At 54.3% G+C, this 15,828-nt stretch overlaps 1 protein-coding gene across 4 annotated transcripts in view, besides 2 other annotated features; it reads right to left on the bottom strand.

The window, feature by feature from the left end:
- Window positions 1–15,828, bottom strand: part of TMEM266 (transmembrane protein 266) — a 144,979-nt gene that overhangs the window by 37,555 nt on the left and 91,596 nt on the right. For 3 of the 4 annotated variants that reach the window (XM_047432151.1, XM_017021915.2, NM_152335.5), the window contains 2 exons: window positions 10,651–10,805; window positions 7,241–7,314 (listed from right to left, as the gene is read on the bottom strand). In XM_047432151.1, the coding sequence (XP_047288107.1) occupies window positions 7,241–7,314; window positions 10,651–10,805 (229 nt within the window). The remainder of the gene's footprint in view (window positions 1–7,240; window positions 7,315–10,650; window positions 10,806–15,828) is intronic. The other variant, XM_005254160.4, reaches the window with a different exon arrangement.
- Window positions 5,550–6,387: an enhancer, noted in NCBI's record as "H3K4me1 hESC enhancer chr15:76453363-76454200 (GRCh37/hg19 assembly coordinates)". NCBI's record gives its function as "activates a minimal SCP1, AML or CMV promoter by ChIP-STARR-seq in primed H9 embryonic stem cells {active_cell/tissue: H9 hESC(primed)}" and the evidence as "EXISTENCE:reporter gene assay evidence [ECO:0000049][PMID:30033119]".
- Window positions 15,114–15,744: an enhancer, noted in NCBI's record as "H3K27ac-H3K4me1 hESC enhancer chr15:76444006-76444636 (GRCh37/hg19 assembly coordinates)". NCBI's record gives its function as "activates a minimal SCP1, AML or CMV promoter by ChIP-STARR-seq in naive H9 embryonic stem cells {active_cell/tissue: H9 hESC(naive)}" and the evidence as "EXISTENCE:reporter gene assay evidence [ECO:0000049][PMID:30033119]".

Raw genomic sequence — 15,828 nt, 5'->3', positions numbered from 1 at the left:
AAGCTCCTCCTCCTAGGTTCACGCCATTCTCCTGCCTCAGCCTCCCGAGTAGCTGGGACTACAGGCACCCGCCACCATGCCCGGCTAATTTTTTGTATTTTTAGTAGAGACGGGGTTTCACCATGTTAGCCAGGATGGTCTCGATCTACCGACCTCATGATCCGCCAGCCTCGGCCTCCCAAAGTGCTGGGATTACAGGCATGAGCCACCGCGCCCAGCCATATGGTTTCTTTTGTTGCTGCCCAACCCCTGTAATTGTGCTGAGATTGAAACTTAGTGTTTGTCTCCTCTGAAATGCTACAATAGCCATATCTATCCTGAACTCTCAATTCTGGGGTGTCCAAGACAAAAGTCCAGGCTGGGAAGATGGGAATACGGCCTGGTGCAAATATAATTTCTGCTATGGCAGCCGCTCCTCCTCTTCCTCCCCCTTCTTCTCCTTTTAAAATGGTGGTAAAATACACATAACACAAAACACACCATCTTAACAATTTTGAAGTGTCCAAGTGTGTTAAGTACATTCACACTGCTGTGCAGCCATCACCACCATGCACCTTTAGAGCTTTCTCACCTTCCCAAACTGAAACTCTGTACCCGCTGAACAGTAACTCCCTATTCTACCTCTCCCCATTCTACTTTCTGTCTCTATGAATCTGACTCCTTTAGGATCCTCAAATAAGAGGAATCATCATGCTTCTTTAGAAACAACACTCTTCTTAGCTGAAAAGGCAGAGGCCCAGGAGTGAGGGGTGGAGGGAGCCGGCCAGGGTGGGACTCAGCCAGCAGAAGTTGAGCAGGAAGAGGAGGCAGCAGACAGCGCACCCAGAGCCTCTGTGCCCCGGGAAGGAAAGGGGCTGAATGGTTTTATGAACCAGAGCAGTGCCAGGGAAGCAGGTGAAACAGCTAGAATCCCAGCCGCTGCCTTCCCTCTGTGCTGGCCCATCCGCAGGGGACCCATCCTCGGAGGCCTGGCTTGAGCCCCACTCTTCTGGGAGCCTTTCCTTCTTAGCTCAGCCCATGGAAACAGAATAGCAAGAGGCCGCTGTGGAGAGGGCTTGGGAAACACCTCCCAGCCAGGCCTCCTGCTAGAGATGGGGAAGCGGTGGCTCCAGGTCAGGGTCAAGGCCAGAGTGACCCTGGCTCTGATACACCCCACCTGCTGGCTTTTCCCCCCCGCAGCATCCTTCCCCTCCCCAGACACCTTTGCCGAGACCCACTGTCCACGGAGGCAGGGACAGAACCTCACTGCCCTGCCCCGCACAGACTGAGTATAGTCTTAACACCTCCGAAAACACGCGCTGGACTAACCCACGGACTGCCTGTGCTTCTCAATGTGCAGCCAAGGACTCCCCGCTTAAGCAGCATCGGGGGGTTTACGTGAAACGCAGATTCCTGGACTCTCGTGGACAGCCAGGATATCAGAAACTCTGGGCACAAGCCCCGGAATATGCTTTTTAAACAAACTCCCCCGGAGCACCCGACGGAACCGCAGGGATGTGTGAGGCGACCCTGCCCCGGGTTACAACAGGAGACCACAGGCCCACAAGCAATAACGAGAAAGGGTGTTAGATGGGGAGTCAAGAGTCTAGTCCTCTTTCTGGCTCCGATCATTCCTTACTAACCACCTGACACTGGCCGGATCTCTGGACAGATCTGGACTGAAAGCAGATCCACGCCCCTCATGCGGCCACCTTCAGAGCTGCTCCAGAGCTCAGCGAGGCACACGGCTCACTAAAAAAGCAGGGTGACGATGAGGGATTGCCCCACCCCCAGCCATAGCCCCAGCCCCAGCCCCAGGGCCGTGGCCTTGCAATACTGGCCCCTAAAAGTTGCAAAGGCCTTTGAAGGAGCATCTGAGGAGCTGGAATCCCCAGCTTCAGCCTCCTCCTTTCCCACCTGGAGCGAAGGGTTTTCAGCCTCCTTTATCCCAGTTTTGCCTTCAGGAGGCTGCTCTGATAAGCAGTGTAGGCTACAGCCTTGGCAAACACTCAAGGATGGTGCCATTTATTGAGTATTATGAGCAAAGTTTTTATACCATTTGAGAGATGCAGAAACTGAGGTGCGAAGAGTGGCAAGTGAACCTTCTGGTCCCTGGACCCCTCTTGCCTTCCGCCTCAGGTGCCCTCATCTTCTGCTCCTGGTCAAGCCCTGCTCTCAAGAAGGGACTCCCCTCATCTCTTCCAAGGGAAGCAAAAGCTGACTTCTCTGAAGGAAGGGGTCCAGGCTTCAGGCTGCAGGAGGGGAGAGTGGGAAATCCCAAGCCTTGCACCTGGTCCAGGCCCTGCCTCAGCCAAATGGCAGAAAGGGCTCCTGCCCCTTCCTGCTGCCTGAGGCCGAGGCCCTCCCCTCAGCAGAATCAGCGTCTTTCCCTGGGGAGGGGCCTGATGAGGCTGCCAGAGTTTGGAAACCTTAGGAGATGTAGGCAGAAGTAGCTGTTAGTCTATAAGCTGGCTTTGTGCAAATTTTTAAAAGGCAGAGGGAGATCCCCAGATCACCTCTTAGTGAGCAGAATGGGGGCTGGACACCCCTGTGCCCTGCAGAGCCATCCCCATGTGGGGCCCGCCAGCCAGGGAGAAGGGAGCAGCCGTGTCTAGCCCCAAGCCCGCGGCCACCCAACACTGTCGGCAGTGGGTTGGGGGCGTAGGGTGGTGCGTGGCTCAGGGGAGCAGGCTGGTCTAAGGAACAGCCACCATGGGTACCAGGCACTGCTGGCTGACCCCTGGCACTTCCTTAAGAAGCAGATCTGCTCTTGGACAAATTTTCCCTGGGGTTAAACTACAATGGCAAGAGGAAGACGTGGATTCCAGGATCCAACTACAAGGCCAAAGTAAGAAATGTGAAGATCTGTGTGGTAGCTGACACTGTCACCAGTCTCACACTGGTGAGGAGAAGAAAAATTGGGGCTGGACACAGTGGCTCTTGCCTGTAATCCCAGCACTTTGGGAGGCCAAGTAGGGAGGATCACTTGAGCTCAGGAGTTTGAGACCAGCCTGGGCAACATGGCGAAACCCCATCTCTACAAAAAACATACAAAAATTAGCCAGGTGTGGTGATGCACGACTGTAATCCCAGCTACTTGGAAGACTGAGGTGAGGGGATCACTTGAGCCAAAGAGGTTGCAGCTGCAGTGAGCTGTGATTGGACCATTGCACCCCAGCCTGGGTGACAGAGTGAGACCCTGTCTCGAAAAGAAAAAAGAAAGTGTGCTGTGCTACATCGTGGATGAACCGAGAAAACATGCTAAAAGCCGCAGTCACAAAAGACTACACACTGTAAGATTTTGTTTACATGAAATATCCGGAAGAGTTAAGTTCACAGAGACAAAAGCAGATTACTAGCTGGCAGGGCGGCCGTATAGGGGGCAGGGGGAGTGACTGCTACTGGGAATGGGGTCTCCTTTTGAGGGTGATGAAAGTGCTTTGGAATCAGGTAGAAGTGACGGCTGCACATCACCGTGTGGGTACTAAATGCCACGGAATTGTCCACTGTAAAAGGGTTATGTGAAGAGAATTTCACCTCAACAGAAGGAGGAGGAAGAGAGGGAGAGGAGAGTCAGTAGCTGCTGCCACCACTGCCTGAGGCTCCTGTCTAGAAGGCCAGCCGCGGCTCCGCTTTCTCTTCTCCCAGGGAAAGAGCTGGGGCTGCCTGGGCCTTTCCAGACCCCAGGGATGCGACCAACACCCCACAGCCTGCACTGGGCCCTGCTGCAGGGTGGCCTGGCCTTGGCCAGGAGGCCCCAAGGACTCCTGCAGTCTCGGGGGAGGAGCAGCAGGCTTCCCAGTTCCAAGTGGCCAGCTGGGCCTGGCCTCAGCCAAGGGCGGGGCTGCGCTTTGGAGGAACGTTTGCACAATTCTCCATCTGGATTGCAAGGCCCTGCATATTCTTGGTGCTGCAGGGCCACGTGAAGCGCAGTGACCCTGCGTGACCTGGAAGACTGGGGCCCAGGAAGTCTCATGGGCATCCAGTCTCACCTTGGACCCTGTGCAGGGACCCCTGCACAGCCTGCCTGATGAGGGGCACCCACTCTCACTGCTTTGAGAGCATCTGTCTCACTGTCAAACAGCTTGGCCCATTTGAACAGATGTCCTCAAACGGAGCCCAAACCAGCCTCACACTCCCCTTCTCTGGGCCTAGCTCTATGGCCTGGGGCCAGCACAGAGCAAAGTAGCCCATCTTCCCAGAGCAGCCTGCAGAGCTCCAGGGTGGGCAAAGGCCGGGGCAGAGGCCCGCTCACCCACCCAGAGGCCTGCACTTGGGCCCACCTGCCATTCCTGCAGGCCCTGGGCAGGTTTCCGCACCTCTCCAGGCCTCAGTTTCACAACTCATAAAATGTCCTACCCACCTTCCAGGACTGTCCTAAGGCTCAGCTGAGAGGAGGGGTGGAGAACTGTTCAGGACAGGCCCAGGGCTCCAGGACAGCAGGAGCCCCGGTGGGGTGACCTTCTTGGAATTTCCTGTGGAGTAATGCCCACTCCCTAAGGCCAAGGAGGCTCGGAGTGCCGCCCCACCCTCGGCCCACAGCCACATCCCTGGGTATTAACCAGGAAAGAACTGGCAGACCTGAAGACGTGGTACTCATTTCTCCCAGCTGAGGAGGGGGTGCCAGTCGTCCTGGGTCTGTGGTCTGAGTGATCACTCGGTCGGACTTTCTTTCTCAGGTCCTTCCCAGAGACCCCTGGTCCCTGCCCACCCTGCCAGCTTCAGGGCCTCCAAAGGATGCAGTCAGGGGCAAGAGACCAGCTTAGGTGCCCAGAGCCCTAGGTCCAGTTTTGATCTTAACTGGCCGCATAACCCTAAGCTGCTCTCCTTGTCTGTGCAGTATTTTGAAAGGACGCCACTGGTATGGTGGGCAAACACACAGGCTGACCCACCACTGACGGACACTGAGCTCTCCTGGCCCTTCCTACTGGGCATCCCAGTCATTGTGAGGGGCACAGACATGGTCGCATGTTTCCAAGCTGTCTGGAGGCAGGAGACCTCCATGAGACCCTTCTAGTAACAAGGTTCTGACATGGTTCTTACGGGCACGCAGCAAGACCATGGAAATCTGTGCTTGCTAGTGTGGTGTGAGCTGTGTGTGTATTCCCGCAGGTTCTGTGCCTCATTCATTCGTCACTCGATCTCCATGCACCGGCCCTCCATTCACGCTGGACACTGGCAGGGGTGGCCCCTGCTACCGGCGGCCTGGCTCCACCCCCTCACCATCTTTGACAAGGTCAAGGTAACGGAGCCAGCCCTTCCTCCCCAGTCTCCTGCAGACCCTGCTCTCCCCGCTCAGCTGTGGGAGGACCCAGCCCTTCCCTGGTTTGGGGGTGCCTATGGGGGACTCTGAGGCTGCGATTCCTGTGCACAGGGGTTTGTCTGTTTCAGGTGGCTTGTCTCCGGCAGTGACAGGAAGGGAATGCCAAATTAACGCTGGGCAATAAATTCTGCAAAAGCCAATAAAACTAAAGCAGAGGGATAGAGGGGAAGAACCGCAGCAACTGATTAAACATTTTTGTTGGCAGTCACAGACACATGGCACATTTTCCAAGGTTTGCATCAAGGAGACATCTGGCCACGGCCCATGTGTTTGCGGGAGGGAATCCTGGCCGGGCAGAGACAAGAGGCCAGGGAGGGCAAGACCCACATGGGGGCTGTAAGCTGGGGAGCAGGCACTCTGCTCTGCGGGGCAGAGGCACCTCCAGGGCAATGGTCTCAGGGAGGTGGTTAGGACCCCTTCTGGGAGGGCAGTGCTGCGATCTGCCCCCTCCATCTGAGCCTCAGGCCCAGGCTCACCAGCCAGCTCCGTGGGCTGTAGGAGGCGAGGCCCAGGAAAGGGAATGTTCCATGCTTGGAATGCCTGCTGCCCGGCCCACCACACCCCACACCCGGACTCAGGATTCTGGACTCAAGACCCAAAGCCCAGCTCCCTCCTGATTTTTAGGGAGAGAGAGAGAGAGAGAGCAGAGCCATTAGCTAGGCCAGAGGGGACACACAGGAGGATGCTGGGACTCCTGACTCCCGGGGTTCCCCACCTCAGTGCCTCTGCCCACGCCACCCTCTCCCATAGCATCCTTCCTCCCTTCAAGGCCCCCCGTCTCGGGGTCCCAGAGCCCCTGTGCCTCAGGTAGAGCAGCTCCCGTTGGTGTGAGATGTGCGTATGTTCCCAGCAGGTGCTGTGCCTCCCTCGTTCCTGCCTTTCCCTGAGGGTTTCCTGAGCCATGCTGAAAGGCCCACGGGACTTTGCATGGGCTAATATGTACCCATAGCAGGGATGGGACACTCAAGGGTAGAGTGACACAGTGGCCCGCTGACTTGGGCCAGTCCTAGGCTCTGTTAGGAGAAACCAGTTTTCCACATGAAACTCTCCTGTCCTTCAGTGACCCTCCAGTGCGCACGGGACAGGATAAAACCCTGCCTGCAGCAGGACCAAGCCAATTCCTCCCACACCCAGATGCAGGCCAGAGTCTCACTGGGACAGCCTGGGAACTGCTCAAAGGAAGTGTCACTCACCGCCATGAAAAAACAGAGGAATGTGCTGCCCAGACATGCCAGCTTCTGCACCAAGCCCGGGGGCCTGCGGATCTCCATAAACTTTCCCCCTCCCCTCACCACAGAGATTCGCACTTGGTCTCTACTAGCCGACTCCAGCAACGCTGACGGCGATCCGTGCTCCCTGAGCCCCCACCTCGGAAATACAGCCTCGCACTCACACTGAGAGGCACATCTTTCGGCCCTGTCAGACCCAGGGCCCCTGCAGGACCAGGTCAGGTCCACTGCCTGGCCCTGTGACCCCGTTCCCCCACCCACTGCGTGCTTCAGCCCCAAAGGTCCGGCCAACTGTGGGCCCAAGACCACAGCCACAGCGGCCCAAGAGCTTCCCTGTGTGGGCACCTGGCTTCAGCCTCACCTCCCGCCCGCTCCTTACTGGCTGCACCCAACACTGGCTGCCCCTCGACGCCACATTCAGTCTCACCTTCACCAGTCATCGCCCACCCCTCACCTGGAGAACACCTGCTCATCCACTGGGGTTCCTCCCAGGAATCACCTGCTAGGGCCAAACCCCCCTGGCTGGGTTGGGCTCCCTGTACCACTTCCCCCCGCAGAGATCATCTATCTATATTGTGTCTCCCTCCCAGCAGCCTCAAGGGCTAGCAGGGGACCTGATGCTAGAAACCATTTCGAGAAGTAGACCTTGGTTTCCCCAGGACAGGAGTCACCCAACAGAGGAGGTGACAGGGCCAGAGTCTCCACCTACCTCTGAGAAGAACACGGACAGAATGACCAGGCTGATCCAGTGAATCACGCCAGCAAACTGGAATGCGCTGGAAACTGCAATGGACACGATAAGGACCAATTTTAGGAGTGAGGAATTAGGTGCGTTGCTATGGGGGCTTCGCAGCATCCGTCCAGACCTCTGGGACCCCGGGGCCCGCCTGCATGAACGTTTAGATCTGGTGGAAATTGGGTCAGAGAGCAAGGGCAGCTTCAGCTGGCGTCTGCAGTGAAGGCAGTAGGACATTTGGGAGCCAACGATGCTGTTCTTCTTGCCTCCGACGCAAGGGACTGCCTCCTTCTCCCCCACAGGCCGCCTCTCTCAGCTCCTGCTTGGTCTTGGTGGGCTTTTGGCTGTAGCCAGAGTCTAGGAAAGAAGCTCTCCAGAAGGGGCTCATGAAGACATTCACGGCTTTTGGGCTGTGTAGGCAGCTTCAGTTGAGGCTGGATGGGCTTTTAGAAATCCAGCCCACAGCTCACCCCCAAAGTGCTGTGCACAGTCAGGGGACTCTAGGTGAGCTTACTGTGACTTTTCATTCTGGAAACCGAGTGGCAGAGACGGTGGTGTCGGCCAGTGTGTTTTAGAGAGAAGGCTGCAGTGAGGACTGGCAGGGGAGCTGGGCATGGGGTGGAGGTGTCTGCCTCCCTCCCTAGATTGGCAGAGCCAGTGGGATGAGGTCTGCTAAACTTCCACATTGCCCTACTCGCCCCCAGGTTCTGGAGTGGGAGTGAGGACAGCCATCAGCCCCTGAGGGTTCCCGCCCCACCTTTCACCAGCCACTCCTTAGAGTTAAGGCATTTTCTTTGGAAAGCCCTTTTAAAATACATGAAGCCACAGCCAGCCTTTGAACCCTGGCATGGCATGGTTTTTAGCCAGCGAGGCCAAAAGCAGGATGCTGGGGCCCAGGACAAGGGTCAGGTGAGCTCTGATGGAGACTGGGTGGGAGGGATTGCCCCAGAGGGTAGAGGGCTCCCCAGAGGCCTAAAAGAAATACTGGTGGGATACCCTGGGATACTGGGGAAGGGCTGAGAGGGGGTGAGAGGCAGGAATGCTGCTGAGAACATGCCTGCTCTACCTCCTTCGTGAGCTGCAGCCAGGCCTGCTTGGCACACTGCTCAGAACCCCCCCCAGGGCCAAGGGAAAGTGCCCAGTGCCTTCAGCAGGGAGGGCCAGACTGAAACAGAGGAACCCACAACCTCTCCCGAAGCTCTGGGATCTGCAGACCCTAGGGGTGGGTAGAAATCAAGTCACAGAGCGTAGCCAGGGGAAGACGGCTGCAAAACCAGGTTCCAGGTGGGAGACTCTGAGGCCCCCTGGCTTTGGGCCAAGACGACCCTTAGAAGATGAGCTCCGAGTCAGGCCACATGAATACCAGTGGGAACGAAGAGGCTGAGGCCCGTGTGACTCCAAGAAGACCTCCAGATGATTCTGAAAACATAAAATCTCTCCCCATTATTTCTCAAATGAATTCCTGTGCCTTTTTTTACGGTTTGCTTTAGAAGAGCAATAAATCTCTGATTGTGCGTTTTATGGAATTTAAGATGCCTTTTATGAGCTGCTATTGGATCTCCGACCAAAATCAATCTCCTGGATACTTAATTTTAAGCAAAATTCCAGTGTCGGCTGGGTTCTCAGTTCTCCTCAATACCTTGTCACAGCCCGAGCAGCCGAGGGCCCCGAGGACAATCCGCCACGGGGAAAGAAAGGCTCTGTTATGGGCAGGTCTCATAAAAAGCAGACAGTATGGGTGAGTGGGAGGGAAAGTATACAACATGGTTTAATTGAAGACAGGTTGAGTGTAAAACCAGTACCGGTCACTTTATGCTGGAAGATCCTTTAATTGGAACCAAGGGGCCACCAGCTGCATAAAACCCAACTAGGCTTATCAGACAAAAGCAATTCTGTGCTCACCGTCCACGCTCTCTGAGAGAGCAGAGAAGGCTCATGTGACTTGGAGGGAGCTTGGACAGACCCTGAGTTCACAGGATCCCATAAAGGAATTGGGGGCATTTGAGAATGGAAGGCCAAGACGTCTGAATGGGTTTGGAGGTGACTGGATCTACAGTCCTGGATTTTGCCAATGGAAGGAAAAGAATCTCTCTGGAGCTGATAATTGTACCTCTATTTATTTATTTATTTATTTATTTATTTACTTATTTATTTGAGATGGGGTCTCACTCTGTCACCCAGGCTGGAGTGCAGTGGCGTGATCACGGCTCACTGCAGCCTTGACCTCCCAGGCTCAAATGATCCTCCTACTTCTGCCTCCCGAGGAGCTGGGACTACAGGCGTGTGCCACTATGCCAGGGAAATTTTTAAATTTTTTTGTAGAGACAGGGCCTTGCCATGTTCCCCAGGCTGGTCTCAAACTCCAGGGCTCAAGCGATCCTCCCACCTTGGCCTCCCCAAATGAGATTACAGGCATGTGCCACCACACCTGGCCTGTGCCTCTTTTTAAATTTGCATTTGAAGGATCTACCTTTTGAGTCAGGGCAATACAGGGAACCAGGAACTGTACCAGAAACCACTTACTTATCCAAAGTCAAGAGGCAAGACACCTGCTCCTGCCCCTCTGGTGTGACAAACAGTGGGGGGTAGGCCTGGTGGGGTAAGCAGTGGATTCTCCACTCAGACAGCCATGTCACTATGGGACATCCAGGACAGAAGAGGTGGAAGACAAGGTTTAACGTGAAACTAAGACAAATGCCAAGAGGAAGAGAACTGGCCAAGCAGTTAAATGACCTGGTGCCTTGAAGTCCCAGCTCCAATACCTCTTACTTAGGGCAAGTATCTCACTTCTCCAAATCTTAATTTGCCTCGTCTATAATATGGGATCATATCCATCTCGCCCATCTCACAGGGTTACTGTAGTGTCAAATGTGCGGAAAAATGCTTTAAAAACTATCACGATACGTATAAATCACACTGCCAACTCACAGCTGGATAAAAATACCAGGAATCTTATCATCACTGTGGTCGCTGTCATAATTAGTTACTACAAGCTGAGATGCCTCCGTAAATGGGAACTCTCTTTAGACTACAGAAAATTCCAACCTGGAAAATTCCAAATGGGAGCAATTAAAAAAAATGCATACAGGGGTCCCCAACGTTTTTCATCTCATCAGTTTCTGATCATGGAATGCTGGGGAGGGGACTGCAGAGGCCACATTGGGCAGAGAGGGGCAAACTGAGGCTGGGGGTGACAGAGAGAGAAGCTGCCAGATGTATTTCCTCCCCAGCGGCCATCCCCATGAGCCCCAGGGCCTGAGGCTGGGCAGCAGCATCGGCGGGGGCAGATCACAGCCTGCAGGTTGGGGACCCCTGATGAATGCAGATGCACATTGAATATTGACATCATATGTATTGGCATATGTATCTCTCTTGCTACTCACACTGGAGAAGCTTTATATCTATTAGAAGTTCCAGAGTCAGGAGAATCACCACCAATATTACACAGGCTACCAGGAAACTGTTGAGACTTGCACTGAGCAAAAATACCTGCCACACGGCTGCTCTCTTCCCACAGCACGGCTTCAGCCAGTTAGACCTGTGGGGACAAAAGTGGGGAGAAGAGAGGCTCAGAGTGGGAGGGGACAAGAGGGTGGACCCCGGCCAAAGCCCTGCTCTCAAACCCACCAGCGTCACTCCTCCCGGGCTCTCTCCCTGGCTCTAGGCTTCATGGCGAAACACAACCTCATTCAAGAGGCTGGGGAGCGTCATAAAGGGTGAAAATATCTCATTAAGAAATGGAGCTGGCCACTTTTTTTTTCTTTTCTTTTCTTTTCTTTTTTGAGACAAAGTCTTACTCTGTTGCCCAGGCTGGAGTGCAGTGGTGCAATCTCAGCTCACTGCAACCTCTGTCTCCCAGGTTCAAGCAATTCTCCTGCCTCAGGCTCCCAAATAGCTGGGGCTACAGGTGTGTGTCACCATGCCCGGCTAATTTTTGTATTTTTGTAGAGATGGGGTTTCATCATGTTGGCCAGGCTGGTCTCGAACTCCTGACCTCAGGTGATCTGCCCACCTCGGCCTTCCAAAGTGCTGGGATTACAGGAATGAGCCACTGCTCACAGCTGGGCTTATATGCAAACCTGCAGCTCATGCAGCTCTGTGCTTCAGTCTTCTCAAAGTTGAAAAGGGTATGAGACCAACATCTGGTGGGTTAGCGGACAGTCGGCCTATGTGGCAAGTGCAGCGTGGAAACAATGTGTTATTACTGCACTTCCGTGTGTCTAAGAATGCGGTGACATGGGCTCTGGCATTTGAGAGCATCTCAATTTGCCTTTAATAAATGCTCGATGAGTCACTGAATGGATTTTCCATTTTTCAGCTATAAAAAGGAAGATTTGAACCAGATTGCTGTTTTTCAAAGTAGACTGAGTGGAACACTAGTTCCACAGAATGTTCATAGTTGTTATTTGATGCAAAAGTTTCCATGGTTGGGTACGTTTTGGGAAATTTGGGTCCAACGAAGTTAAATGGATATTTTTCTCTGTGGGGCATTTTAGGGCCTTCAATATGCTCTTATGCATCATCATGGTCCCAAAGAGATTACAGAATCAGGGCTTCCCAAACTTGCTGGACCGTGACACCCTTTGTCACAGAGTGAGAATCTGGCAAGACTAGAGTTCCACGGACTCTCAGGGAAACCCTTGACTATATGACCCTGGACATCACAGCAGAGGTCAGGCCTCCGAGGACAGCAGCTTTCCTGAGCAGGTCTGGAGGTGGGAGGGGTCACAGAATCTGAGCTGGGTGGGCTCTGCAGGGCACTAGACACCCTCCTCTCAGGAGCACAAGAAAGGCCCCTCTGAGGGGCCTGGGGAATACAGAGATGGGGGAGCTGAGGTCAAACCTCACCTGCTTGGTAGTTTAGGTATGAACAGGACCTGCCTGCCTCCCTTGCTGAGGAAGAGCTAGGCATCCTGAAGTGGCAGCCACAGCACCAGCCCAGGAGGCCACACTTCTGGCTCTGCCTTCAGCCACCCTGGGGCCCCGAGTGAAGGCTCCTCACCACTGTGGCCTCCGCCTCTGCCTCCCCATGTATAAACAGGGATAATGCTCCTGAACTCACAGGTCACTAAAGTTAAATGAGGGAACTAATCTGCCCTGTAAAGACAATGCAGCTGAAATGGATTGGTGATGATGACGACGATGATGATAAAATATCTGATGGTCCGAACATGGGGTTGGGAAGGGGGCTGTGCCCTGAGGCGCCCCCTTCTCTCGGAAGGAATAATGTGAATGCTTCAAGGAGACTTCTTCCTCACAGTCCATCCAGGGAAAGCCTGAAGGAGTCCCCCGCCATTGGAAGGACAGACAAAGCTCACAGCTCTTCAAGAAACCTGGCAGGACACTGGGCTTATTCACATCATTCTGAATATTTTCTAACTCCTCTGGGAATGATAGGCCCCCGTCCTCAACTCTGTGGGGAATGCAAAGACTGGTGTCCAGTCCCCAAACTCAGGGAGCTGCTCCCAGAAAGACAGGTAGGAGGACATCAACAGGCAAAGGAGGAAGAGGAAGAGGCCTTGTTGGATGGGGCTGGGGATGGTCGATGTGAACCCCGCATGGTCCAAGAGTATGGGGCAAGAGATGAGGAAATCAGCCAGGTCAAAAGAGAGGGTTTTCCATTAAGGGACAAGCAGAAAACAGGAGGAGAATGGTCTGTGGGGGCCAGATGGTGAAGGCCATCAATGAACATCCCCATCGCCCACTCCAGGTGGATTTCGAAGTCCATTGCAGAACCACATCTTTCTGCTTTCATGCCGGCACACAGGGGCCAATCACCAAGCAAGGGGCTACAGAGGAAACCCCAGACTGAAACTGGGAGGAGCTCAGGAGGGTTGCCAGATCAAGCGCAGTATGTCCAGTTACATCCCAACTTCACATAAACAATGAGCAATTTTCTAGTATACCCTAAACATTGCATACAACAGACTCATACTAAAAAATGATCTGTTGCTTATCTGAAATCCAAATTTAACTGGGAATCGTGTATTCTTATTTGGTAAAGTTGGCAGCCCTAAACTCAAGAGCCAAGGGGTCCGGAGAGGGCCTGGTGAGGGCGGCTGTGATTTGATCAGAGAATGCATGGGAACCCTGGGATGCAGGCAGAAAGCCAGGATGAGCTGGGGAAAAGCGCATGGGAAGGCCATCTGTCCCGAAGGGGCAGGAGGGAGGGACCTGGCCAGGGAAGCCAGGTGCTCAGATGACAGCTTTGGCCCTGCTGGGCTGGAGGCTCCCAGAAGCCTAAAGCTGCTGCCCGCAGCAGTGCCAGCGGCACAGCGCTTCCATCCATTAACGAGCCTTTGCATTTTAAGATATCTTTGGCTATCATCACTTGGCCACCCTCCTCACCTCCTGATTCTTCCTTCCGGCCTCACCTACTCCCCCTGCTTCTTTTCCCACGATGTGACATTCCTGCCTCCCCTTTTGCCAGCCCCATTTTCATCCTTCACACCTCTCACCCCAAGTTCACACCCAGCCTCCAGCCGCCTCAGCGCCCCCGGAAGCCGGTTCCCCTCCTGCCCTCTGCCTGCTCACTCCTCCCCCACAGCTCTAGCATGGTCTTTTCTAGGGCCCAAGGACACCTGGCTCCAATTCCACATTCTCCCCAATGCCCATTACCGTTGTCTGCGGCCCCTAAAACTGATGGCATGTCATTGTCATTTGAAATCTGAGCCAAGCACCTTCAGGCGGTTATGAATAAAAAGGGCAGCTGCCAGGGCCATCTGCCTGGGCTGGCCAGCAGGAAGCCTCGTCTTCACGTTCCACGGAAGGTGCCGGGCATTTGTTCACCTTCGTGCCTTGGACATCCCTAAGACACTGCTCCTTCTACCCCAGAGGAGGGTCCTGAAGGGAGTAGGGAATGAAACGAAGCATTGTATTCAGGAGCACTAGTTCCATATATTCAGTTCCCTATCAACAGGAGACTCAGACCTTGACCTGCCTCCAAGGGAGGAAAAGCCAATTTATATTGCTGTTTAAAATGTCGTTTTTTTCTTCTTTTTTTTTTTGTTAGAGAAACTTACTAACCATATCAGGTGGTTAGGAAGCTGCAGGAGGTGGGCGTCTGGAGTTACCTGTGGTCTGAAGTCAGCCCATAGTTGGCCTGGCCCTGACACCAGAGCACACTCCTCAGCCTCAGGGAAGAGCCAGGTAGAGGACTGGGCAGATGGCAGGATTCGAATGCCAGGCAGGGGATGACGGCCTTGAAGTCAAATGAACGCCGCCCCCACCATCAGCTAAGGTAGGCAGCGTGATCAAGAGAGGCGAAAATCCCTGCTCTTGGGCAGGTTACACTCTAGTGGGAGAGAGGGTCAGGCAATCAATACAACAGGTGCTGGTGTGATGGGTACTACAAGGAAGACACGCAGAGCTGGTGGAGGGATTAGGACGGGTAAAGGATGAGTTGACATTTTAAATATGGTGGTCAGAGCAGGCCTCAGTGAGAAAGCGACATGTGAGAAAGCTGATGGGGGTGAGGGGACAGCGATCCAGGCATGGTTGAAATGTACACTAAATAGGGACTGTTTCTGGTAAAATTCTATTCAGCCCCGAAGTACCTCCAGTATGAGAAACACCAGGGTGATGGGAGCCAGGAGCTGGACCGGGAGGAGGATAGGGCTTCCCCCTTCAGCAGGGGGTATAGCTCACCACCCACCACCAGCTAGGGCAGATGCTGCTGGTGCAGCCACAGCCCTTGGCACAGCCAACACACAGCACCCAAGAAACCCGAGGCAGCTGCACAATCAGGCCTGTGCCACGCTGCTCTGGGCCTGTCCTTTCATTCTCACGCCAGCTCAGTTGTCCCCTGCCCACACTCTGCCCTCAGCGACCCACCCCTCCACTGTGCCAGTCTGGGAGTGAGTTCGTGCAGGTCTCCTTGTTGGGGGTACCACTTGCATCTTGCTCTGTGCACCCCCTCCTCTTGGTAACCCCAGGGCAAGGCACATGGGGGTGACTCGACGGAAGTGGAAGGACAGAAGACCACTGTCAAGGAAAAGATGGTACCCAGGGGATACAGTGGCTGGTGAGGCCTGGCTGCCTTGGAGCAGGGAGCCATGGAGACTGGGGGTGGGATCTGCCTCCAGGTCAGTGGATCTCAGCCCAGCTGCACACTAGAGCACCCAACAGAGCTCTTAAGAACTCCAATGCCCAGGCTGCACACCAGACCTCCTGAACAACAACCTCTGCGGGAGGACCCAGGCCTCCTCAGATGACTCCAGTGTGCAATCAAGGTGGATGGAAAACCGCTGTTCCAGGTCCTCGATACTCAGTGGAATCTACAGAGCAGCAGCAGCAGCATCACCTGGCGCTTGTTAGGAATGCGGCGTCTCAGCCCTTCCCCGTGCTTGCTGAATTTGAGTCTGCATTTCAATGAGATCCCAGGTGCTTTGGGTGAGAACAAATGCTTCTGGCGGCCTACTAAGAGGTAACAGGTATCTCAGAAAGGTAAAGGGGGTATGGCAAAGGGAGTTTGGGAGTAGGAGAGATGAGACAAAGAAGGCAAGCCAGGGTCAAGCAGCCCTGGAGCATCAAGGAAATAGTGCAGGCAGGCTATGTGTGTG

Source organism: Homo sapiens, chromosome 15 (genome assembly GCF_000001405.40).
Source record: "Homo sapiens chromosome 15, GRCh38.p14 Primary Assembly".
Taxonomy (NCBI): domain Eukaryota; kingdom Metazoa; phylum Chordata; class Mammalia; order Primates; family Hominidae; genus Homo; species Homo sapiens.
This window is presented reverse-complemented; position numbering and strand designations above follow the sequence as displayed.